The sequence below is a fragment of the Homo sapiens genome, chromosome 2, assembly GCF_000001405.40.
Source record: "Homo sapiens chromosome 2, GRCh38.p14 Primary Assembly".
NCBI classification, from domain to species: Eukaryota; Metazoa; Chordata; class Mammalia; order Primates; family Hominidae; genus Homo; species Homo sapiens.
In genome coordinates, this window is record NC_000002.12 from 44,670,557 (window position 1) to 44,698,266 (window position 27,710).

A 27,710-nucleotide genomic window follows, 5' to 3' on the forward strand; every position below is an offset into this window, starting at 1 on the left:
TGGGAGGATCAGTTGAGCCCCAGTGTTAAAGGCTGCAGAGAGCTATGATCATGCTACGATAATGCCACTGCACTGCAGCCTGGGTGTCAGTGAGACCCTGTCTCTAAAAAATAAATAAATAAATAATAAAAATTTAAAAACACAGATTGCTGGACCCCACCTCCAGAGTTTCTGATTCGGTAGGTCTGGGATGGAGCCTTAAAATTTGCATTTCTAGAAAGTCCCTAGGTTATGCTGCTGATCCAGGAACCACACTTTAAGAAACGCTGCCTCAGCCAGGTCTGTCTTCTGAACATCTTTCGCCAATCCTCTCTCCATGGTTCCTTAGAGATTACACTCTATTGCCTAAAATATAATCCACCTCTTCTGCTCTTGACCTATCAATTTTTGGGCCCTGGGTCACCTTAATTGACTTTTTACCAGGCCTTCTCAATCCTGGGTACAGATAGCTAGTTGCCTAAGGAATGCTTGCAATATTAATAAATGCTGCCTTTTTGTTCAAAGTTAACAGGTAGCTTTTAGAATGGCCTAGTATTATTGATTAGCTGACTTTGTAGTCTCCTTTAGGAGTATAAGTGTGCTGAAGTTATTCTGATACAACGTTAAGTCATGAATCAAACTCATTGTCCTTCCATGCTCCAGTACCTAGTCTCCTTCCCCAAAATCCTACCCCCTTTTTTCCTTCAAAATTGCACTTCAGATCTGCATCCTTTCCTGTCATCAGTTAGTCCCCTAAATCCCCAGTCCTATTTGTGATACCCATGTATTTTTCTGGGACATGAATAACAACCTCAAACATCTTAATAATAAAGCCTCAGATGGGTAACAGGAATACACTGCAAAAATTAAATTACAATATTTAAGCCTTCCTTGTAATTTATTTAGAGCCAGGTTTCCCAGCAGTGACACTGTTGGCCTTCTGGGCAGATGACTGTTTGTTGTCTGGGCCTGCCCGGTGCACTGAGGGTGTTCAACAGCAGCAGTGGCCTCCACTCACCATGCCAGTGGCTCTCCACCCTCACCCCGTGTGGCCACCCCAAATGTCCTTTGAGGGCAAAAACCTCCTCTGGTTGAGAACCACTGATTTAGAGACATCTCATGCCTTATTTGAATTTTCAGGGATTTTTTTGGTGTGAAGTATTGTCAGCTGGTTTGGGCCTTTTAAAATTTCAACTCCCCAAGCCCTTTTAATCTTCTCCATTTCTTTTTTATCATATATTTCTCTTTGTTTCTGGCTAAAAGAGGGCATTGTATTTTCATGATTTTTTGAAAACCGATTCTCAACCACATTTCTCCAAGACAAAGGGCAGTTCCCACCAAACACACAGAAGCAGACCCTAGGACACACTTCAGATTCTTTTCCTGCCCTTCCTGCAAGTATTACTCTCACCATAGGATGGTGGTAGTTACTGTGATTAATATACTTTTAACTGTAATGCGATTATAGAAAATCATGCCAAAATTGCTAGAGCTAAAACTTGACCTGCCCCGACAGGATGATGAAAACTCAATACCATTCTCCCTGACCCTCCCCATCCGCCTCACTCCCCAAATAGTCTTGCTTCTTAATGAGTAAGAGTAGTTTAAGCTGCAATTATTTCCTCTTACACTGACTGTCCTTTTCACCCTGATTACTCTTTGGATGTATAATGGGGAGATAGCCGCATGCAGACTAGCAAGGAGGTCTGGTGAATGGCAGCAATACATACTTACTCGGGAAGAGTGCATTCCACTCTCAGAACAACCTGCCCAAACTGAATGCGGCTCACAAGTGGAGTGGGCAGAGCTTTTTACAATTTCAATTTGAAATGCCACTTTTCTAGTTTTCGTGGCTAAAATAGTAAATAATTTTGTGGGTTTTTTTTTCAGCTGCTCTTCATTTGACATTTGCTGAGCCCCTCTTGAATTTACTTTTGCAGAACAAGACCATTTGTACCCCAACTATTTGTACCATTAGGCCACTGCTCCTTTTTAGTTGCATTTAGGGACCTTCTCCAATTCAGTCTCTTTCTACATGAGCAGAGCACCTATTCATTCAAAGGGAACACCATGACACAGCCAGAGACTATGCCCCGGGAGTATAAAGAGCTTTGTGTCTGCTTCCCAGTTTCAGAAACTCATAGTTGCTTATTTACCAGATATCAACCAAGCTCTGGGTACCAGGCACTTTTGTACATTTCTAGTTTTGTCTTAGCTGAGATAAATACCAACTACCCTGAAGTACTGTAAGATGTACAAGTACCTTATTAATCATCCAAAAAAAAAGCCTAAGCAATAACAGTGTTTTATATTAGTTTGAGGGTTAGATGAATTCTATTTTTAGCTATATTTTTCTAGGTAGCAGTTCTAATAAACAGACATTTCATAACTACTAATCAAAATAAGTCAATGCCTTGGTTATCTGTAATTTTCTCTTACAACAACTTTAGACACTGGAATAGCACTGAAATAGGGAGTAATGATCTTAATTGTGTATTTCTTGGTAAATGACAGAATTCCTCCATATATATGATTTTGTTTGATTTTTTTAATTGGCACTACGGGCAAAGGAAGAAACTTTGGGGCAATGAGTGGTTTTAAAAACATAGGCTGGGCGACGTGGCTCATGCCTGTAATCCCAGCATTTTGGGAGGCTGAGATGGGAGGATTGCTGGAGGCCAGGAGTTTGCAATCACCCTGGTCAATACAAGGAGACCCCATCTCTACAAAAATTTCAAAAAGTCAGCAGGGTATGGTGGCATGTACCTGTGGGTCCAGCTACTTGGGAGGCTGAGGTGGGAGGATCATTTGAGCTTCAGAGGTCAAGGCTGCAGTAAGCCATGATTGCACGCCACTGCACTCCAGCCTGGGGGACAGAATGAGACCCTGTTTAAAAAAAAAAAAAAAGAGAGAGAGAAAGAGAAAGAAAGAGAGAGAGGAAGGAAGGAAGGAAGGAAGGAAGGAAGGAAGGAAGGAAGGAAGGAAGGAGGGAAGGAAGAAATCTATACACCCAAAAACCTAAACATCATCCCTGATGAGTGTGACCAGCTTGCTTATCAAAAGGCAAAGAGGGGTTCTCATTTGGTGGCGGTAGCTATCTAAACCAAGGCACTTGCTGCAAAACCTAGAAACATGGGAAAATGACAAATAAAGGAGCCAAGCAAAATAAGCGTTAAGGAAAGGGGGAAGAAGAAAATATGAAGACTGCAGGACAAAGAAGGGAGATGACTGGAAAGAGAAGTGAAGATTTCAACACTGATGTGAGAAAGTGACAGCATAAGTTACAAAGAATTTGGGAAAGATTAAATACTTCTTCAGGGTGGGAACAAACAGCCGAGCATAATGGAACAGTCTTTTAGGACACCCAGCCCTCAGAGCTCCAGACACCTCACTTCATACCAGTTTAGCCCAGTAACTGCTCTTCATAGCAAATCTCCTTCTTGCTGAAGAAAAGTTTGAATCATGTTTGCTATTTTCATGCACCAAAACCTTCAAAATTACCTAAAGAAAAAAAGAAGTTTGCTTAATTTCCCCTGTAATGAAAGTCTGTGTGGAATCACTTATTGTCTGACAGGTCTCACTAAATTTGACGTTCCTGTCCTGGATTTATCAGGATACCTCATTACTTCATCATGCTATATGTAAGAGTCAACTAGAATATAGTCAACTCATTATTGTTTGAATGATGTAAGAAGGAAAGGTTGATAATCCAAAAGGGTATGCAAACCCCTGTGATTTATACTTGGTTATTTGCATTTGTATTTTGATATTATAAACTTGCCCCTTTGTATTGTAACAATCTGTTAACCCATCTGTCTCCTCCACTAGACTATCAGCATCTTGACTGCAGGGACCATCTTAGTATCCAAAAGCTAGAGCACAGTCTCTGGCACATAGCTGGGGTTCGAAAAATGTTAAATAAATGAAGAAAAACATGTATCTGATCTGAGAAATCACTGCAAACAAAGTAATGCCTCCACACAATGAAAACACTCAGTAACACCTGGAAAGCTTAACTGCTTGTCTCTCAGACTGCTGCGAAGCCCCCAACCTCAACCAAAGTGCCCTACTGTAAATCTTTTCCCAGAATAACGGAAGTGGTTAAGTGTTCAGGTGTCAAAATGCTACCCTGCTGGGCTGCAGGCCACATACAAAGTTATATTACATTGAGTTTGAAATGCTAACAAAGCAAGTAATTAAGCTGAGTAAGTGCTAACTTGCTTGCAAGCAAGATTTGAAGCTGATAAACCAAAATGCTGATAATTAAGAGTTGATTATACAGCTTTGTTGTTTCTCTACCCTGCTAATAGCCTCACATTCTTGGCATGTAATGATTTCTTCCCCACAAGGAAAAAAAAAACACACAAACTATCAATCTTCTCCTCCTGTCTCCCACCCTGAAAAAGGTGTGACTCCCTCCTTTCTTAAGCTAAATCCTCTCCCTGTGGTCTTGATCCTTCTCTCTATTGCATCTTTTACCTCTCACTCTCCACGAATTTCTTCTTTTCTGTTTGCAAACATGCTCGGGATTTACCAACCTTAAGGGGGGGAAAAAAAAAAAGGCAAGCCAGCAAATGATAGTAGGAGAATCTTCCCTTACTCTACATTCCCTTAATTCTCTCCCATCTTTCTCCTCTGTATCCCCTAACCTCTTGGAAAAGGAATCTGTGTTCCTTGCCTCCTCAACTTGATGGCTGATTGCTTTTTATTCCCTTAAACACTTCTCCTGGTTTCAGCACTCTAATGAGGCTCTTTCAAAAGCTATAAATAATTCTTAATTGTCAGATTCCGGAATCTTTATTTTCTTCATCTCTGCAATCTTTCACATGGTTGACCTGCCCCTTTGGTAGAACTATTAAAGGGGCTTTTATGACTTCCATGACATTCTTACCTTCTGGTTTTCTTCTTCCTTCTCTTATTACTCTCCTCACCCTCCCTGTTCTCCTTCTTTCTTTTCCTTCTTCCTTTCTGGTAAGAGAGGAAAAGAAACTAATATTTATTGACATACAAGACAAATTATTTGTCAGATGTTGTGCCAAGTTTTCAAACGTCTTTTATTGTCACATCAACCCTAGGATATAGATATTCTTATCTCCATTTTAAAAATTATTTATTTTTAATTGTGGTAAAATACACATAATGTAAAATTTACCATTTGCATCATTTTAAGTGTACAGTTCAGTGGTATTAATTATATTCACATCATTGTGCAAACATTACCACCATCAATTTCCAGAGCTCTTTTCATTTTCCCAAACTGAAACTCTGTCACCATTAAACAATAGCTCTCCATTCTCCCCTCCCCCAGCCCTTGGCAACCATCATTCTACTTTCTTTCTTTGTGAATTTGACCACTCTGGGTACCGCAAATAAGTAAAATTGTACAGTATTTTTCTTTTTGTGGCTAGCTTGTTTTACTTAGCATGATGTCCCCCAAGGTTCATCCATGTTGTAACATGTGCCAGAATTTCTTTCGTTTTTAAGGCCAAATAATATTCCATTGCATATACATACCATATTTTGTTTATCCACCCAACTTTCAATCATCCGCATATAAATGGTGAAACTGTGGCTCAGACTAGTGCAGTAAACTCATTGAGGTTGCACAGCTTTTCCCTCTGGGGAAGCATTCTTCTAAATTCTATCCTTAGTCTTATTTCCTCTTTCCCTCTCTCGCTCTCTCTCTCTTCCCTCTCTTTGCTGATCTACTCCCATATTTTTAATTTTAATCTCCATCCATGTGGGTGTTTCTTAAATGTATATCCCAAATTTATCCTTGGTACTGAATCTAGTTCCATATTTCCAGTAGATCCAACCAGAATATTCCCATATTGCTTTCAATTCACTATGTATAAAACCCAAATGCGTTATCATCTGATCCTCAAAACAGGCTTGACTTTCTCACACTCCTATTGTTGTTAATGGCACCACAAATTTCCCAGTCATCTGGACCCTAAACCTCTGAGTCATCCTTAAGCCTCTTTCTCCACATCTCCCAAATTCCGTAAATCCTAAAGTCAGTCTTGTCAGTTGGGTCTCCCTAATCATCTTCATGCCCATTCCAGCCTTGCTGTGCCTGCAGAAGGGGTCCTACAGTCTGGTGGGTCTAAGAGCTTGGGTTGGGCTTAAGTCCCAGCCCAGCCACTCACTGGCATGGAGAGGACGGAAGGTGTTTGGCTAGTCACCTGACCTCACTGAGCCTCAGCTTCCTCATCTGAGAGAGAGAACCTAATGAGCAAGGTATGTTGATCCTTAAATGAAATAGTATTTATGAATAGTTCAGCACAATGCCCAGCATTTAGTAGATGCTAAGTAAATGGTTATTTTTTCTTCTTTTTTAAAAAATTCTGTCTTCCTGCTTCTAATTCACTAGCCTTCTTCCCTCATAAGGATTTTTTTTCTCTCTCTCAGAATTCTCTGCAGGAAACAAACCACTGTATTTTAGCATTATGTTTTATTTTACAGTGCCCTTGATTCTTTATACCTGTCTGAGGACAGTGACTGTGCTGACCCTTTACATTTGTGTTTCAACAATCCTGAAGGGGATTTTCATCTCCTGAACTGCTTTATCAATATTGTTTTATAAACAATTGTGACCTACAAAATTTATTGAGCCCAACCTCATTTTTTAAAGGACTGCTATAAAGTCAGTGGAATAGCATTTTCATGATTAAGAGCAGTCGGAGGGATTAATGGAGAGGCAGCATGAGCTTATTCCTAACTTTGAGTGTGCCAGGAGTTTTAACAGGGATAAGAGGAGTCACCAAACATCTCTTCCCTGTCCCTTGTATTATTTTGCAAGAACATAGGCAAACTTGTGCATATTTCAGCAGAAGGGATATCTGGGTAGAAGATTGCATTCAGTTTGTGGAGTAAGGGCATGCAAGCAATTAAATCCCAACTTCCTCATCAGCAGTCTGTACTCAGGAGAGCTGTCCAGAGTAGCCAGGCCACATCCAGCCACATTGGAGATAGGAATTCCATGTATATGGCAAAACCCTATCTCTACTAAAAATACAAAAATTAGCTGGGCATGGTGGCGGGCACCTGTAATCCCAGCTACTCAGGAGGCTGAGGCAGGAGAATCACTTGAACCAGGGAGGTGGATGTTGCAGTGAGCCGAGATGGCACCACTGCACTCCAGACTGGGCAACAGAATTGAGACTCCGTCTAAAAAAAAAAAAAGCGTATTTACTTTTAGAAGGTTGTGTTATTTTTTACAATTCTCTTATAACAATGCACCTCCTTATTGCCCGCACCTGGTGTACTCCATTCCAATCTCCTTGCTCTTGGGGTGTGTGTGTGTGTGTAAAATGTCTGGCATAAAACACAAGTGTGTGTGAGAGTCAATGTGTATGTGTATTTCACAGCTGGACTCATGCATAACACCCAGTTAATGGTGTCACTAAGGAGTACAATTAGAGGATGTATAAAGAAGAGAGAACTGACAAACTTTTCTGTACTATGAAAATTTTACAATGGGAAATAACTCTTTACAATACAGTTTTTTCAATAAGAAAAAAAAAAGGAATTCCATGTATGAATCCTAAACTAACTGTGTTCCTTACCTAGCTGGGTTGCTGCGTTTCCGAAAACCCATTAGCAACAAAAACACCAACAAAACCCCAAACAATCTTTATGAGTAGCTTGGAAAAAAATTTTTTAAATGCGTGAAAAAAGTAGACTTGTGATGGTGCACTTCAGATTAATTCTTTCCATTAACATTTTGAAATGTTAAGTAAATAGGTAGTGAAATGGGGATGGTGCTAGTTCTTCATCTTGTGTTAGACATCCAGGTCTAGCCATGTCTGTACTTCTCTAAATGTGACTGTGTATTCACTGAGATTGCTGCTGAGCCTACCTGAGATCATGAGGCTGCTTACTCATCAGTGAACAGCATGACCACCCTTGGTACACACTCCAGCTTCAAGCTAATGGTTCAGGCATATCTAAAATGGCCAATCTCTCCAAACACTTGGGCTGAATTCATTACTCCTGCCTCATTCCTGAAGTGCATAATCAAATTCTAAAGACCAATTGCTTGATATTCATATTTTTTTTCCTACAGCAGGTTTTACTCAGCAAAAAACGGACAATACTACTCAATGGATAACTTAGTAGTTCAGAAGCCATGTTATGTTTTGTGCTTGTATTTTTATCTCATGAGTAAGACTGTAATTGTGAATGTTTGTATATTGTCTTCTGAGTGTTCTTTTCTCCTGATAGCCTTCCTTCTCATCTTTTCTCAGTCTGTCTCTTATGAGTCCTGAAAGTGGGAGCCCCTGGTATTCCATGTACCTGTTTTGTGAAAATGGCAGACTCTGCTACTCACTTTTCTTTATTCATAATTATCTATCTTGGCCCAAATCCTATTTTTCTCCCATTCTAATTGAGAAATTTGGTTCTCTTCTCTCTACATTGAGTTGAAAATCCCCAGGAACCCAATAGCAGACTGGTTGTTAAGTTGATTTGGTCCCAAAAGAACCTTAACAAAATCCTCTTTCTACTCTTATGAATCGAATTCCCAAAACTCTTTTGAATAAACCATCCTGGTTTCCTCTAAGCTGATGGTTAGAGTTGGGTCATGGAGTTCAGGGTGGAAGTATTAACTCAGAAAGTCAAACTCCAGTGTTTTGGGGCCTGTGGGTGAATCAATGCTTGAGGAATATTGTGACCATTTATTTGCCTATTCTCTTTTGTCCCTGCCCAAAACCTCAATATAGTGATATTAAATTTTATAAATGTGGCTCAAAACTTGACAACTATTATATTTGATATTGGACTGCAGCCATCCTCTCAGGGATCTCTGCCCTCATTTTTTTCCACTCTGATTACTTGCCTCCGAGTGAAGGGTTCAAGAATAAATGCATTACCAAAATGAAGGGAAACAGTCTTTGAACTTCTGAGTGGAGAACTGTAAAGTGACCAAGAATTTGATTACTAGTCAGGCTTCTAGATGGTTTATTAATGAAGCAGTGCATTCTCCACGAGGGGAAAGAAATGCCATTAATGTTATACCCTTGGCACGGAAGTTCCTATTTAAGGAAAAGTAAATGCATAGCCTGCGCCATGTCAGAAAACTAATTTTAACGTTAACAATGAGTTGAGTATTCTTATAGTTATGAGAAAATATTCCAGCCTTCATTGCCTTCCACAAATAAGTTGCTGGAAGTAAACGAGGTGTGCTATTTCAGTACCAATTTAGCAATACCTCTGCTCTATTATCAGCAACATGCACAGTTGGTTCATGGCAGAATGCAAGCCACTCTTGTCTGTGAATAAGCATCAGGCTGACTGTGCAGGATGATAATTGCTCTGCCTGCACTTCCTTTGGCACCTACTGATCTCCGCTAAGTGGTTAGTAAAACATATTTTTGAAGGAATGTCAAGCACTTCTAAAAATTTGAAGGACTTCATCTTTGATTGTTCTTTTTCTTATGTTTAAGTTTGAAGAAAGTTCACACCAAGCCATTCCACGGCTGCCATTACTCCTAGCAAATGTCTGAAATAGCAGGGTGCCAGTGTGTCTGTGCTTGGCATCTTTTAATCAGCGGTGTTTTCTTTTTCATGATACTGTGACACTGGCTGGATGTGTTGGGATATCAAGTGACGGACTTCAAATAGATGGCAAATTCACTAAAGTGAAAATGATTGTGGTAGTTCCCTCATTTCCTCCTGCAGTGTATGCAAAACTGACTTTTAAAGTGTTTAGTGGATAATAGATCATGTAAGGTCAGTGCTAGCCATGGCAGCCATGGCTATTATTTTCCCTTTTCATGGGAGTGTGCTCAGCAAAATGAGATTGTCACACTCTTTTTTTGAGAGGACAGCGACAGACAGTTAAAAGCCTCTTCATGTAAGGATGTTATTTCATAAGGACACCAGCACTGGATTATCCCCTTCACTTTAAACTTCTGCCAGCTTGTACAAAGAGATAAAACAAAATAGCCCTGGTCCCAGGGGTGGGGAAGTGCCGGCCAGCTCAGCCTGGGTCCACAGGCTTTCATTTTGATTCGTCACATGTGAGGAAAATTCACTTAGGCTGAGAGGTAAATTTAATACCAGTTATGCCCATGCTGTTCATATCACAACCATTTTCACATGATGCCACTTAATTCCCTAAGAAGCAGAAAGGTAAATCGGTGGCTGGCCAGCAAAGGTGTCACAATGCATTAAGACCAGGACTCGCTGCAGGGGATAATGGTTCTGATTGCTGTTGACTCATGTCTCCACCAACTGCCTCATGTAAAATAAGTGACATTTAAAAGACATCAAGATGTGAGAAGAGGTAAGGGAGAGAGAAAGAAAGAGAGAGGAGGGTAAAAAGTATGCGCCACTAAACTTGCCACCCGAATGTGCAGTTTCTTTTCCACCCTAAGTGGTAGGAAATGATAACTCGACATGCCATGGGTGACCTGCGCTAAGCCTTTAACTTCTTGTCTTGTGTTTTTAGAGAAAAATCTGTAAAATTGCTTCTGGGAACTGCTCCAACATGTTATCATTTATTTCCAATTTAATTTTTTTTAAACTCTTATTCTTTTGCCCTCACATATCAGTCTATTCATCTCTTTAAAAGCTTTAGGCTGAATCAAGTTAGGCAGTGGTAGACAACAAGAGGCAGGCTACTTTCTGAAGGCCCATTTATGTCTATTTTTATAAAGAGAATCAAATTCCAGTTTACAGTAAGCATATGCTTCAGTTGACATCTGTTTCTAAGACTTGGACGCTTTGTTTGCATAACAGTCACCAATAAATGGCCTTGTTTTAAGTCTGCTCACTGAGTTGTATGTGGGTTGTTCAGCTGGGGATTTTAGTCGCAGCTGATCCCCTACCGCTCATAGCTGATAGGAAGGGGGAAAAGCCGAGAAGCCCAGTCCTATTTATTAATGCAGATTTTAACATTCTCAATGAACCACTTATCCAGTGTGATTCGGCAACCAAATCCTTATTTGCTCAGGCAGAGGAGGGGGTGTTCTTAAAGTGCTGAATTAAAGCTCTTACCAGCTTTTTTTTTTTTTTTGGAGGGGGAGGGGAATGGGGAAGAAGAAGCAAGAGCAAGGTCCTTTCTTTAGCCAGTCTCTGATAATTTGGAGTACAATGAGATCGAATCTTTAAACAGGACATCATAAACCAAGCTTATGTTTAATGTATTTGTTGTAAACTAAGATGATCAGATGTTTGCAGAGCCCTAAATGTTGGCCCTTTGTGCAAAGTCTTGATGATTTTATTTAATACCACTTAAATATCAGTTTAGAGTTTGATAGAACAGGGTTATGTTTCCTTCATTCATCTGGTTTTTGTTTCATTTTAAAGCATATCTGATTCTGCATACGTGGGAAACGGACACAATATTAAAATATTTCAAGATATACATGTGACTGTCTTTAGAATCGTTACTGCTAATTAAAGAAGTTACTACTTGTGTTAAGCAGCTTCAAATACAAAGCTAATCCTCGGTCTCGATAAGTCTGCCCTTTTTTCTCTGCCCCTGAAAGGCATGCCAGCAGTTAAAAATATTAAAAGTCCAAAGATGGGGTCGATGTGCCTTAGAGTGTAAACCTGATTAATAGAGGGCTTCCCTTTAATTCCCTTTTTTACATAGAAGAGATCTAACTGTAATGTATTTGAAAATATGTGTTCACTGACAAATACACTGAACTTTTTCCCCTGAATTATTGTATAATATTCAGTAATCGTTTATGAAATGTGTAACATTTTTCAAGGGGATTTACATATCAACTTTTCCTAGTGGAATCAACAACAGTAGCATGAAATGTATCTACTCCATTTACTCTTATCCAGTGCTCCTACTTTCTTTTTCCCTTTAATTTTTATATATGGTAAAAATTTCATTGAAGAGAGATTTTAGATGACAGGACTGTAATTTTAAACCCAATAGAAGAGGTGTAAGCAATTTGAGCTTAGCTGAAGCATAATCTTAGGTTGTCAAGAAGAAACCCATTCTCCCTATGCTAATCAATCAGTGTATCAACCAACCAATCATCTCTTCAGCTTAGCATATATCCTAAGGTTTGATATATCTATTAACTGCCCATCATGCAGCTGGTCTCTGGATGATGAGATTCCCCCTATCTTGGCATTTGGCGGCAGACGACCGAGCTATCACAGCCTCAGATAAATACCAAAGTGGAGATTTCAATCCTGTTCCTGAGTGCAGAGACAATCGAGAAACGTTGAAAATATTCTTAGAAGAGAATACGCAGAAAATTACATTTCTCAACACTGTTGTATGTGAAAATTGTATATATTACATGATTCTCCCTCCCTAGACACAACAATGTAAAATAAAATTACTCTTTTATTATGATTGGAATGCTGGTAATCAAAAGAATTGTTGGAATCTGCTACAAACTCTTAATTGCAAGACAAATTACATGTAGACATCTGAATAAGTAAGACTAATGACCGTGTAGATGATAAATTTCCTGAAAACAAACAGAAGCCCAATTATATAAAGCAAGGCACACAATCATTATAATTCTGGAGAAGGGGGTCACTATTTCTAAAGATTTTATATTGCTTCCTGGCCTCTATTCAGAGATTCTGATATTAGGTAAGCTGCAGCTGAATGTATCTGTAGCCTCTTCCACCAGCCAGTGTATTGGAGCATGGAAAGGAGGCAGGGTTTCTATAAAACTGTTTATTGAGAAATAGAAACCAAAAAAAAAATGATTTAATTGCTAAGCATCTGTGAATATGTTGAAATTGGGATGAGTATGATTCATTTCTTCAAACACTGATATCCACCTGGAAGGTAAAATCTCTCCACAAGATGCAAACTCAAATCATGTCTTTCCCACACTATAGTTAAAGTCTCATACTCTGAAAAGAGAACCATAGTGAGGTATTAGGGGACTGAGGTTCTAGCCCAAACTCGGTCATTAACTAGCTAGCCTCTGTGTGCTAAGCAAGCCCCTGGATCCTTTAGACCTTACTTCATAAATTGCAATGTCTCTAAAGCACCTATGAAAAACAGTAACGAGGCAGGGCGCGGTGGCTCACGCCTATAATCCCAGCACTTTGGGAGGCCGAGGCGGGCGGATCGCAAGGTCAGGAGATCAAGACCATCCTGGCTAACACAGTGAAACCCCCTCTCTACTAAAAAAATACAAAAAAATTAGGCGGGCGTGGTGGCGGACGCCTGTAGTCCCAGCTACTCGGGAGGCTGAGGCAGGAGAAGGGCGTGAACCCAGGAGGCAGAGCTTGCAGTGAGCCGAGATCGCGCCACTGCACACCAGCCTGGGCGACAGAGCGAGACTCTGTCTCAAAAAAAAAAAAAAAAAAAAAGAAAAAGAAAAAAGAAAAAGAAAAGAAAAATAGTAATGAATTACTCTCCTGATAAGTAAACACGATTTCATATTCTTCCAAAAGGTTATTGTTTTTCATGTCACTAATGGTATGAATGTAGACTTCCACCATAGTATTTGCTCAGCCAAAATCTCTTCAATGCTGTTGGGCAGCATAAACAAATGAGAAACATATTCTAGCCTAAATACAACGTTCTGGGTTTGAAGCCATTGTTTCAATCATTTGTTGAGGGTGGGGCCAAGGAGGAGAAATGATGGAGTTCACAATAACATGAACTCTTTACTGCTGGAGAGAGAAGGAAATCTGTTTTCTGTCCTGAGAAGTCCAGCATGAGTTCATAGAGACCGTGATGACTTCTCCGTTCTCAACAACTCAGCCTGTGCACTTTGATCTCAACTTAAGAACACTCGTGTGTCCTGGTGTGAAAGGGCTGATAACAATATAACAGCTCTAGAATTTTTGTATTTTTCCTAACAGAAGGATAATTGTGGTGTCAAGTTCAGAGCAAGAGTTCGGTTTAAATAGTGTATTTTGAAAACCTTTCTCGAGGAGTTGTGATTCTAAGAGAAAACAATTTTCTATATGGCTTAAGGTTACGAATTTTATCATAGCAAAGAGAAGGGGACAAAAAAAAAAACCTAGACAGAATCATTTTCTCTCTCTCAAGTCACTTAAAGCGTCCATTCTAGGACTCATTCCAGGCTCCTATGATTAGAGACCTGCATGTTTGTAGATATCCCCAGATAAGCCCCAGATATGAGCACCCATGACATGGTCTCTGCTGAACAAAGCAAAAGGATTGATTTAGAGAAAGATGGCCTATTGAATGTGGATTCTTCCATGTTGCTGGCCTGGAAACTGGTAAGCATGCACCTTTCAGGCCCAGGGCAGTCCTCCTCCCCAGAGGATCTATCCTGTCTATTGGTGATAATTGTCCTGCCAGGTCTACAGATTGTGGATATAGATAAGAAAGTCAGTGAAAGTGGATTGAGTGCAATTAGAAACTTACCCACACAAGAACTGACCTGTGATTGCATTTGTAGGTAGAATCAGGTCTGGAGTAGAGAGACAGCATTTAAAGCTCAGCAAATAGATCTTGCAAAAGAAGAGGGATTCATTTTTTATTGCTGAGTTCTAGGTTTAGAACAATTCGTTGCTATTCTCCATGAATACAGCATAACTTCATGTGCATCGTGTAAACATGCCCCCGAGAAGAAAACAATGAGGTCCCTGTCCTCAAGCAGTTTATGTTCAAAGACAACATAAAGAAAGAGATCAAATTATTTTAATGAAACCTTGAAGGTGGGATCAGCAAATTTTCTTTATCAAAGTATGATTGATTTTTGCTTTTTAAAAGAAAGGTTTGCTCTTATGTTATGAATTCTCTCAAATAGAAAAAGTGGGCACTAAAACAGACGTGAGGATGAAAGTGAAAAGAAGGAGAGAGAATGAGATGGACAGAGGGAAAACTGAGGGAATCAAGGGAGGGAGAAAGCAATGGGCAAAGTGAAGGGAGGGAGTTCTTTCAGCTTAGAATACACTGGGGCTGGAGAGTGAGTATGCACCCAAACATCAGGCACCAAGGTTTGACCACCAGTTATAGCTAGAGAGAATCTCCCCAAAGGTGTCCTTTCCAACTTGCTCTTGGAGAGACCACCATTAACCAGTACAAAGCTTATGAATCTCTGCAGGATTCTAGAAGCATTATGCTCAGCCATTAAAACAGTGCAGCAGACAAGGGAAGAAAGCAGGCACAGAGAGGAGAGGGAACATAGTGAATCCTTTATAAACACTCTAAATGGGGGGAAATAATGACCTCTGACTTCTTTGTGGTTCTCAACTCATGCTGCCACAAGATTGGTTATAAGGTCCATATCACACTGTGATATGAAAGTATTAATTGAATAGGAGCAATCAGCATTTCTATGTGAATAATGACTTAGAAATAATATTCTGCCCATTTCAACAATGGAACAGGAAACCAAGGCTTCACCTGGCTACACAGTTCTTTTGATGAGGTCAGATTTTTTTTTTTAACTCTGAGGTATATATATTTTGTGTCCTCTTTTAACACTTCAATCTGATACGCATTTCTTTGGAGTAACTTAAGAAGATGGAATAAAATTAAGGGAAGGCAATATATGATAGATGATAGTATTGTCCTTTAAGTTCAAATTATGACTTTCTGACAGACACCTTCATCAGCTCTCATCTGAATAGTGACTCTTCTATTAAAAGCAAAGCCTTGGCCAGGCCCAGTGGCTCACGCCTGTAATCCCAGCACTTTGGGAGGCTGAGGTGGGCGGATCATGAGGTCAGGAGATCGAGACCATCCTGGCTAACACGATGAAACACCGTATCTACTAAAAATACAAAAAATTAGCCGGGCATGGTGGCGGGCGCCTGTAGTCCCAGCTACTCGGGAGGCTGAGTCAGGAGAATGGCGTGAACCTGGGAGGCAAAGCTTGCAGTGAGCTGAGATCATGCCACTGCACTCCAGCCTGGGCAACAGAGCGAGACTCTGCCTCAAAAAAAAAAAAAAACAAAACAAAAAACAAACAAACAAAAAAACAAACCCTCGTTTAGTTCATAGTAATGAACCAATGTCAGTTTCTTAATTTCGAGAAGTATAAGATGTTAACAATGGGAGAAACTGAGCGAATGCTAGGAACTCTCTACTATCTTTGCAACTTTTCTGTAAACCTAAAATTATTCCAGAATAAAAAGCTTATTTAAAGAAAAAAAATGCAACCATGTATATGGGCTTTGCCATGAACACGTTTGAATAAGAAAGCCCTCAGTGCTACATTTATGGGAGCATTTTCTTAATCTTTCTGGAAATGAACGCTCATTGGAGTTTGATATCCTGAGAAGCTGATGACTAACCCTATGCTCATGTATACCACCAGACAGGTCACTAGCTGATCAGGCTGAAATGCTCACTTATCCAGTGTTGAGTCAGAAAGAGAGGAGAATTTAAAATTAGCTGACTTCTTGGACTGGCACCTAGCACTAAAATAAAATAATCCCTTAGCATGTTTACTAGCCAAAACATACTGTATCACATTGTAAGTTGCTTTAAAGTTTGTATTTTCTATTAAGCTTGCTGCATGGTGATCATGTAAAAGTGTCTAATGGTTACTGTAAAATTAGAGGCTGTCCAAACGAAACTTAAAATCCTGAAACTTTCTCTCCAATGTATGATAATTCTTGGCTACACTAGTAAACAGTTTGACATGTGTTTAAACATAATTCAATTTTTTTATCAGATCGTCTTTTCTTAAAGGTATGTCTAATGAAGTGTGTGACTGTATAATAGAGGAGACAGTATTTGATTTTTAATTTTTATGTTAAATGGTTTCCACTGTTGTATGCCCATTTGAGTTTTTACAATAAAAGACAAATATAAAAATGTGTATCTATATCACTGTGCTTACCATATTGTTTTACTGATGTTTTTGTGTTCATCTTTTCCCTTAATGAGTGAACTCCTTGAGAGGAGGGGCTGTGGTCTTAGTATCTCGCCCAGTGCAACATATAGTAAGGATTCAGTAAATATTTGTTTGGATGAATAAATGAATGAAATCACATTCAAATGCATTATTTCTCCTTTGAAGGGAACCAAATAGCTGCCAGTCAATTTGCTCCCTTCACTGCCCTTGTTTTAGGGTGGCCTCACAGTTTGGACTGGTTTTTATCATTGCTATCATTCAGCCACATATACTAACCTTTCAAATCTGCAAAAAGTATTTAAAAGAAAGAGAAATTGTTCATGTTTCAAAACCTATTATAATGCATCTTCAAATATGTCAGACACATCTTTGTTAAAATTAAACCAGGGATTGGTTTTGAGCGAATAGCCCTATATCCTTACAGATGCTGTGGATGGATGCATCTAAGCTGCTTATTATATTGATGGGTTTTGCTGCTCTGCAGCAAATGAAAGCAGGCAGCTGCTTCCTCCATCAAAGCAAAAAGCAGCCTGAGTTTTTATTAACCGAGTGTTCATTTCTTCTATTGCCAAAATTCTTACACAAAACAAAAGAGCAGTTTTAGCACATTATTGCTTAACTAGACATGAACAACTGACAGCAAGTGATAAGCCTGTCTGCTTTTCACAACTGGTAATCATTTTTGGAATAGATGTTTTAATATAGTTGAATATAAATTTTGTAATTTACATCTACAATGGTACGTAAATTTATAGATCCAGTTTGTTGCAGGAGAATGAAGGCTATAATCACAAAAGGCTTTTCCCAGTGTTGTTTAATTTTTAATGACTATTTGAAAACTGGGGAAGGAAAATGAAATCAAATTCATTTCCTTAACAAAAAAAAAAGGTGTTAAAGACAATCATACAAGTTGGTTGGAGACATTTGTAGATGGCCCCAACAGAGCAAGACCGCTGTGTTTACAGCCAGGACGTGCTTAGCACTACATTTCCACATTAGTTGCAGTGAGCTGCCCAAGTTAGTGCAGCAGCAGAAATTTTTGGAGAGCAGACTGTCACATTTCCTTCATATCAATGAATAATGATGAGTGGAGATACAGGAAGGACAGAGTCCTGGCCATTTTGCACAGCTGAGATTGTCAGCCAGCTCTCATACATATATATGTGTATATATACACATACATATATATACATATATATATATTTTAGCAATCTGAATGTCATATATTTAATTTCAGATGGCATGGCAAAGTGAGGTTTGTTTAAAGTAGGTTTAGACTAAACCCCAATGAGATGTTGCCCTACTTACCATGTAAATTTGCTGAGTAGTGTTTTACCTTTTGGAACTTGCTAATGGCAATTCCTGCTGTTAGAAGGGGAGGCAGTTCTCCTCCTTCCCCCTTCCCCACACAGAAATGATTCTTTCCTCAAGACCTAAGAGAGGAAACTTGGAATAAATGCAGTGTGATATGCTGGGACGTGCACCTAAACAACATTGCTAAAATAAGTTATGCTGCCTAACAGCCTGATACCAGGACTGTTTAATGAATGTGTTCTGTTCTTGCATCTGGAACATGCACCTCCTAAATACTATTTACTCTCCAGGAAACCTTGCATAAATGTGTAGAGCATGCATTCCACATGGAACACATGGCTTTCAATTTGTTTGGAATTTAGCCATAGTGTTTACCTGCAAATGAGATAAAGCTGGACTCCGAGGCAGGAAAATGCTTTAGAAATCAAATTCATGAATCACAGGTAACTCCAGGGAAGAAGCTCACTTTTGCTATTTTGGTATGCCCTGTAACAAGTATGTGTCTGTGTTCGGGATGTGGCTGAACACCTAAGACAGGGAACAATAACAATTATTCCTAATACTTTATTTCCTCCACTCCATTGGCACATTGCTGCTCTTACGTGCCTTTTCAAGACATGACCCAGCACTATTTTTTATTTATTTATTTATTTATTTATTTATTTATTTATTTATTTATTTTGAGACAGGGAGAGTCTCGCTCTGTTGCCCAGGCTGGAGTGCAGTGGCATGATCTTGGCTCACTGCAACCTCCGCCTCCCCGGTTCAAGTGATTCTCCTGCCTCAGCCTCCCTGTAACACGGCACAGTTTTAAAAGGGAAAAGGGTGATCTCATCAGAATGATGGCCTGTTCATCCCACCCTGAGGACACTCAAGCACAGCAGGGCCTTGGGGGAAGGCATTACTTCCCCCACGTAAAGGAATAAAACTGACAATGAAAGTGTTCCTTTTTCTTCTTCTCTTTTTTGTTTTTCCACTGTGGGAAGGACATGTGGTGTTTCTGGGGAAATCCATGTCATGTTTTCCCTCCTGCTAGGAACTCTGTGGTCTGATTTTCTGGGTCCACCTGTCCTAGACATGCTTCTTCTCACTTTCTGACATCCTCTCTGACCAATGGAGATGGAGCATTTTCTCACATAGGCCCAGATAGCTCACATCAGGAGATGTTCTTCTACCTGTGCTTTGAGACCTCAGGAGAATCTCTTCTGCCCTTAGGTAGTTTTGTTACACTGAGGAGAAGGAAATTCTTCTGAGGAAAAAAATACAGCAGAGAGCTGTGCTCAATATTGGAGAGGGAAAATCATACTTGAAGATGTTTTCTGTTATTAATATGCTTGATTAACTAAATAAGCATTCACATCTAGTTTATATAGGTGTAGGGCAGTTATTTTCTGAAGCTCTGAGATTTAATTAACAAAGGTAGTTCTAATTCCATTGAAATAGACATGTAATGAAGATTTAACTTCTAGGACCATTTCGAAACCCATCTAAAATATTTCTTGGTAGAGGTTTAAATTTGAGATTATAGTGAAAATAAAATATTTTAACCAATCTAATTTCTTTAAAATGTCACAGGCTAGAGCCCACTGGTAATTTTATAGTTTTCATTTGGAAGTGTACACATATAATGATCTCTAGTCATTGGATTTAGAGTTGGAGGAGGCCTCAGAAATCAATTCAACTCTTCCATTTTTATTCTTGAAGTGAGAGCCCAAATATGATTTGTCCAAAGTCCCCAAATTAGTTATTGACAGAGCTATGAGAACTAGCAACTAGTTCTCTTGATTCTAGGACCAGCCATCAGGGTTGGGGCACAGAATGCAGTGATGAGAGACTGGGCTCTAGAGTTAGAGTATGTGGGCCTAAACCCTGGCTGTGCCGCTTCAGCTTACTATTCTGTTTATGCTGTATTTCACTGTGCCTTTTAGCTGGTCATAAGGATAATGCATATCTTATAGGGGTTGTTTTAAGGATTAAATGTGATCATCCATGTAAAGTACACAGCCCAGTGTTTGCCAGGTAGTAAGTGTTCAACAAGTGATGCTGCCACTGCCAATAATAATAGCTGGGTGTGGTGGCTCACGCCTGTAATACCAGCACTTTGGGAGGCTGAGGTGGGTGGATTACCTGAGGTCAGGAGTTCGAGACCAGACTGACTAACATGGCGAAACCCCGTCTCTACTAAAAATATAAAAATCAGCTGGGTGTGGTGGTGTGTGCCTGTAATCCCAGCTGTTCAGGAGGCTGGGGCACGAGAATCACTTGAACCCAGAAGGCAGAGGTTGCAGCGAGCCGAGATCGCCCCACTGCACTCCAGCCTGGGCAACAAAGTGAGACTCCATCTCAAAAAAAAAATAACAACAATAATAATAATACTAGCAAACACTAACTGAGCACTTACTAGCTCCTATTCTGATTAATCCCCAGTCTATAGTATGGAGTAGGTAGTATTATTACTTTCAGATAAGGAATCGGGGAAGGAGAAGTTAAATGACTTGCTGAGGTCACAAAGATATTAAGTGTGAGAGGTGCCTTCCAAGTTCATGTCTTCACGCTCTAAGCCACTGCGGTGATGGCTATGACCGCCGTGCATTTCTTTTTCTCAGCAGTGCTTCCGTATCCTCTGGTCCTGTCTCCATTTCTCATCTGTCACTCAGCTGCTTTCTCAGCATCTGCTGGAAAACTGACTATCAGCCCTACGACCAGGGCCTCGGGGAACGTTGCCTGAAGGCTGTCTTCCCCTCCCTGCTTCAGTGTCAGGACATGGCTGGGACCTTGTCCATCTTTTCTTTACCTCCTAATCGTCACGTTAATAGTCTGAGTTAAAATGGACATTTTAAATTTTAATGCATTTTTAATCAAATCACACCCATAATAAACAGGCCATCCTATAGTCCTAGAAGAATTTATTGTTGAAATACTTGAGTAATTTTTTATGCCCCTTCATTTCTCCTGCTTCCACATGCTCCTTATCTGCCCTTCTCTCAGCTCAGGTCAGTTGGCAATCAGATTGGACCCTTGTTTTTGTAATCTAGTGAGAGGCAGCAGATCCCAGAGGTTAAGAATAACAGGTCTATAATCAGATTGCCTGGGCTCAAATTCCAGCTCTGTGACCCAGTATCTGCATGACTGGGGAGAAGGTTTCCAAACCTCCCTGTGCCTTGATTTCCTCCTCTGCCTCATAGTCCCTGGGCAGCATCAACGTTCCATAAATTATAGAGTGTCACAGGGCAGGCCTCCACCTGCCCACCTGCCCACCATTCTGGAATATTCAGACATTCTCTCCTACTCAGATGTTCTTTGTGACCTGGCTCCACAAATATAGGGAGGCCTGCACTTAATCATATATTGTACAGAGTGAGTCTGCTAATGGGTCAAAGCGGGAGGACAAGTATAGAACATGTATTGTCCATATACATGTAATGATTGTTTTGGATCCATTTTCAAAGCTCCCGTAACAAGGGCACATTTATCCAAAGTTCAGTTTGTTTTGATTTTGTGGGTTATCAATGAGGAATAATAATATCCCTGAAAGTACCATAAAAATGTAATTCAGGTTGATAAAATTCCCTGAATAGAAACTTGTCACAACAGTAATAGCAGCAGCATCATTTCTGTTTTTAATAGTAAAAAAAAAAAATTACTCTATGTTAGGCACACTTCTGAATGTCTTACATGCATTATCTCATTTAATCCCCACAGCACCCCATGAGAAGGTACTTTTATTGCTTGTACTTAACAAATGAGAGAAGTGAGGCATTACCCAACAATCTGGCCAAAGTAGCCACCTGTCCCACTCCCATAATTATTCTCTATTTCGTTAACATGTTTTATTTCCTTCACAGCACTATTCACTGTCTGAAATGATCTTACTTGTGTCTATTTTCCCTATGAAAGTTATTTAGGCAAAGGCCTTGTTTTAATCACTGCTGTATCCTCAGCTTCTAGAACAGGCCTGGCTGCCTTGATAATTGTATGTTGCATGAATAAATGAGGCTTAAAAAGTTTAAATACCTTGCCCAAGATCACAGAACCATAAGAGCCAGTATTCAAGCTGCACTGTAACTCAGGAAGATGAGAGCTGGCTTTCTGCTGTAGCTTTTTATAGTTGAAGACCCCCCAGACATAATCTAACCCAAGGCTATCATTTTGCAGATGAGGTTACTGAAGCTCAGAAAGGATAAATTACTTTCTAATATCTTACAGTTTGTTAGTGGCAGAGCCAGAATCAGACCCCAGATCCCTAGGTAGTGTTTTTTTGCACCATGAATTCAGCCTCCTCATTTCATATAAAATTGAAGGAAAATCCTATATGCGTCTGCTGTACATCATCCGCCCACTTATTCATGCCATAAACCTAAGTCATACTTGACACTTCCCTCTCCGTTACCACCCCCTTCATCTAATTAACTAGTAAGTCTTGTCAGTGTACCTTCTAAATATATCTCAAATCTTTCCACTTTTCTTCATCTCTGCTAACCATCACCCAAGCCACCACCAGCTCTCATCTGGATATTAGTAGTAGCCTCCTGCCTAGTTTCTCCCTGCCTCCTCTTGCCCCGTTTCATCTAATTTCTTAGAGTAGCCAGAATTATCTTCTAAACAGTATTATAAATCTGGTCATACCACGATGCTGCCTAAAACGTATCATTTATTCTCAGGTGTGACTTAAAATTCTTAACATGGCCTCTGGGCCTGAGGGGTCTGGCCCCTCACCACCCCTCCTCCAGTCTTATCTTGTATTACTCTCTTCCTTTCTCATTTATTCTAGAGTTCCACTGACCTTATTTCCATTCCTACAACATTAAGCCCTCTTGTTAAGACTTTGTTTCATGGAGCTCCCCTTCTGTGGACCACTTCTTCCACTTTGTCCTCCTCTTCCTTCTTTATTGTGTTCTTCCCCCTCTGGGTCTCAAACTAGACTGAAGCCCCAGTGACCATGCTATCTCCATCCCTGTTGATCCACAGGACCCGAAACATTGTAGATGCCCAATAAATATTTGAGGAGCATTCTGTAGTCCTCTTGTGGATTTCTGCACTGGGTTGACACATCAGTGACAAAGCAGAAATGTGAGTTGGATTAAAAGAAAAGGAGACAGAGTACAAAGACTGAAATGAGCCCAGGAAGCTTCCATACTCATTCCAACATGAGCAGCTTTTCTTTTTAGTAACATCTACCCGTGCATTTATTCTTCCAGAAGGTTTGATGGCTTAGCTAAGTGTGTGTTGGCCTCTCCACTTGAGTCTCAGATTTGAGAGAGGCCTTTTTTTACTGACTCCTGTGTGATAGGCTTGATCACTTCCCTTGAGGGAGCTAGAGAAAGGTGCTGCTTCGATGGACATCAGCTGATCACAGAAAAGCTGTATGTCTGCTGTGAGAGCTAGATGTGTTGTCATCATGGAGCAAGTACAAGCAGTTGGTGGGGAGGAGGGAGCCAGCAGTGCTGCTTGTTGGATGCTGTCGATCAAAGCCTTAGGACTGTCCTCCAGGACGAACTATGAGAAGTGAAAAGCTCGCAAATGGAACTGATCTAGAAGGCCCCAAGCTTAGCTGGATCCTCAGGTTACTGAATTTTAGGATTTGCTCAGTCTTCAGGTTAATCATAGTTGTGCTGTTTGTTTCCAGATTAACTATGAAACTTGACATTTAAAATAATTCTAGGCCAGGTGCGGTGGCTCATGCCTGTAATCCCAGCACTTTGGGAGGCTGAGGCAGGAGGATCACTTGAGCCCAGGAGTTCGAGACCAGCCTGAGTAACATGGTGAAACCCTATCTCTACCAAAAATAGAAAAATTAGCTGGGTGTGGTGGTGCACACCTGTAGTCCCACCTACTTGGGAGAGAATCACCTAAGCCTAGGAAGTCAAGGCTGCAGTGAGCCATGACGGTGCCACTGCACTCCAGCCTGGCTGACAGAGTGAGATCCTGTCTCCAAAAATAAAATAAAATAATTCGAAACTAGCTACTTCACTAACAATAACAACAACAAAGTGGTTGCTTATATTAAGTAGATCACATTGCCAGTTTTCCACCTCACTCTTGCTACACAGACAGCTGTTTTAGTGTTGGCTGGCTATAGGCTTTCTAAAGTCTGACAAATTCAACAGGCCCAGTTCTGACAGAAGCAACTGCAGGGAACCAAGCCTTTGTTCAAAAGAAATGTGATAAAACAAAATGACCATAGATATGCAAGTATAGTGTAGTACTCTTCCTTTTCCAGACAGAACTCTTGTTTAGCCAATGCTTTTATGGAGGCCCAAAGGATGAAGGAGGCCTTTCCTCCTATGAAATAAACTCATTTGATTTATACAGAAAGCACTAAAGAATAGGAAATGATATGCTTCTTAATAACGTTTATAACGTGTTTAGAGAATACTTTACCTAGAATAAACTATTAATTTAAAGTTTGGGGATGCTTTTTTAGATTAACACTTTAGCTACTATAAATGCCACTTTGGGCATTCTGCAGCACTTCATTGAGTGACGTCAATAATGTAGCAGAAGTGCTATAATTTTCAGATAAGCATTATAATCTATTTTTTTAAACTTTTATTTTAAGTTCAGAGGTACATGTGCAGGTTTGTTTTACAGATAAATTGCATGTCACGGAGGTCTGGTGTACAGATTATTTCATCACCCAGTTAATAACCATAGTACTATAATATTATTAAGGGAACATAAGAACCTTGGGATCTCATCATTAGTGTTCTTGTCTTGTACGTCCTTCTCCTAAAAATTATTCTCACCACCTTTCCAATGAATTTCTCTCTAGTCTATGAAGTCCCCCTACTCACTATTCTTCCAGAATGAGTGAATGAAACCCCACCATTCTGAGCTTAAAGCATTGATGCTAAAATGTACTCTGGAAGAGATAAGAATATGTCTTGGATTCCAGAACTGTCCTACAAAACTATATTCAAAAGACCATGCATTTCTAGGTTTCAGGTAAACTTGGAGACTGAACAATGCACTCCTTTAAGAAACCTCACTAAACCTCTACATAGGGATGTTTTTTAAGGCATAAACCCACGTGAATGACACATTGGCCATTTTAAGGGGCAGCATGCAATAGCAATAAAATTTTGGAAGCTGGAAGGCAAATGCATTGACTTAGCAGATATGAGAAAGCCAGCAGTTGGCAAAGCTGAGAATCAACCCAATTTAAACTTCTGGAGCCTTGAAGGCTCGGAAATCGGTGGCATCAGATGTAGCTGGTTCTCCGTATCCATGGATTCTGCATCTGAGGATTCAGCCAACCTCTGATCCAAAATATTCAAAAAAAAAAAAAGACTAAAAATAACACAAAAATTTTTATTTTATTTTATTTTTTGAGACAGGGTCTCACTCTGTCACCCAGGCTGGAGTGGAGTGGCGTGATCTCGGCTCACTGCAACCTCCAACTCCCAGGTTCAGGCGATTTTCCTGCCTCAGCCTCCCGAATAACTGGAATTATAGGCGTACACCACCATGCCTGGCTAATTTTTGTATTTTTAGTAGAAACGGGGTTTCACTATGTTGGCCAGGGTTGTCTTGAACTCCTGACCTTAAGTGATCTGCCCGCCTCAGCCTCCCAAAGTGCTGGGATTACAGGCGTGAGCCACTGTGCCCGGCCAAAAATGTTTAAAAACATTATAGCAAATATTTACATAGCACTTATATTGGATATGCATGCAAATACTACATCATGTTATATAAGGGACTTTAATATCTGCAAATTTTGGTATGGAGTGGAGGAGTCCTAGAACTAATCCCCCACAAATATTGAGGGGCAGTTGTACTTCTAAAAGAAGGAGTTGAAGGGGATGAAACTAAGGAGAATTGATTGAAAGTTGTTTAAGAAGTAGTTATATCCCCATTTCAGGTGACTGGGCAACTCTTCTCCCTCTACTCCAACAAAAAACTGGAGGTTTATTCTTTGGAGAGGGTTAAACTGGGGATTTTGGGCTTGGGAGACACCAGGTACAGTTGAAAGCAGAGAATACGAAAAGCCAGGTGGAGTGACTAAGTGAACATATGCAGACTGAATGATGAGCCCCACACCCTCACCCCACTCACCTACACTCAGCCTTCTTTACTTCCAGAATTACCAGATACCTGAGGGAAGCTTTTAATGTGACAGATAACAAAACCAAGAAACAGAAAAAAACAACTTGAAAAAAACAGACTTTATAAAGATGAGAAAACTTAAAAGAAACTATAATTAATACTTTCAAATAATTAAGACATTGCATTCATGAAACAGGAATAGGATGCTTATAAAAGAAACATTCAGAGAATGACCATCAATAACAATAGCATATATTAAAAGAACAATAAAAAGGTTAGAAGATAAAGTTGAGGACATTTCCAAGAAAGTAGAAAACAATAAGAGATGCAAAGCAAGAAAGAAAAGATTTTTTAAAATAAAAGGATGAGTTCAGGAGATTCAACATCCAAATAATAACAGTTGCAGAAGAAGAGAACAGAGAAATATGGAGTAAGGAAATAATCGATGATACTTTGTAAGAAACTTTCCAAGAACTGAAGAACATGGAGTTTCTGGATTGAAATTACCCACTGAATCATGCAAGTTCTTAAACATTTACCTCTCCTACCCCCTTTTTCAAGAAACTACTGGAGGACGTGTTACACTAAAATGAGGGAATAAACCAAGAAAGAGGAAGACAATGGGTAGAGGAAACAAGAGATGGAACCCAGGAGAAAGGCAAAAGGAGCCTGGGATGATAGTGAAGATTAGGCTGTCAGCTGTGTACCAAGCATAGAGGGCATTCAGTCCAGACTAAGGCAGGTTAGAAGATACCAGGAGAGATTTCCTCATAAGGTTGATAGAACACCCATTGTGAATGAATGTATTGAGAGGAGAAATTGACAACTGAAGTTTGAGGTTGCCTAAAAATCTTAGCAAATGAGGGGGGAAAAGACCTTTATAAACTCCAGAGAAAACAAAAATGTGTGCATGAAAGAAAAAACAATCATAGTTTACTACATAGCTGTTTTATTTCCTAGTCATAATAAAATCAACTGGGGAGTGATCTTACCAAAATTTTAACATTATAACTATTATTGTAATATTAAAATATAATATTAAGCAGATGGCGTGGGGTGGATAAGGGGCACACATATGTGATGTGGGAAGAGGAATAGAGATAAAAGCAAAAAATGCTAATTTTGCACAGTGAGGGGTCAGTAGATTTTGCTTGAAACTGAAAAATCAAGAAGCAACAATACAAACTTATTATGTAGAAATATAAACACAATTACCAGAAGAGTTAGCTAAAAGAGTTGAAAGTAATAGTTTCTGGGGAAGCAGAAATACTGGGGAAAGGGGCTTGGTGCTACTGTTTGTCTTAGCCATTCTAATAGATCCCAATGGCTCTTTAAACTATGTGTCTCTATAACTAATTTGAAAAGAAAATCTTTTTGAAAGGCAATTTTATTCCCACAAATAAGAATGAGAAAACTTTAAAAAGTAGCAGCTTTATTGAGATATAATTCACATACCATACAATTCATCCAGTGGTAGTTAGTGTATTCACACACTTGTGCAACTGTCACCACAATTTTAGAATATTTTGTCACCTCCAAAAGAAACCTTATACTCATTGGCAGTCATGCTCCATTTACACCTAACCATTG

At 39.8% G+C, this 27,710-nt stretch overlaps 1 protein-coding gene across 9 annotated transcripts in view, besides 1 other annotated feature; it reads left to right on the forward strand.

The window, feature by feature from the left end:
• CAMKMT (calmodulin-lysine N-methyltransferase) overlaps positions 1 to 27,710 on the forward strand; it is a 410,646-nt gene that overhangs the window by 308,610 nt on the left and 74,326 nt on the right. The gene's annotated exons all lie outside the window — the stretch shown is intronic.
• Positions 9,913 to 10,461: an enhancer, noted in NCBI's record as "OCT4-NANOG hESC enhancer chr2:44907608-44908156 (GRCh37/hg19 assembly coordinates)". NCBI's record gives its function as "activates a minimal SCP1, AML or CMV promoter by ChIP-STARR-seq in naive and primed H9 embryonic stem cells {active_cell/tissue: H9 hESC(naive and primed)}" and the evidence as "EXISTENCE:reporter gene assay evidence [ECO:0000049][PMID:30033119]".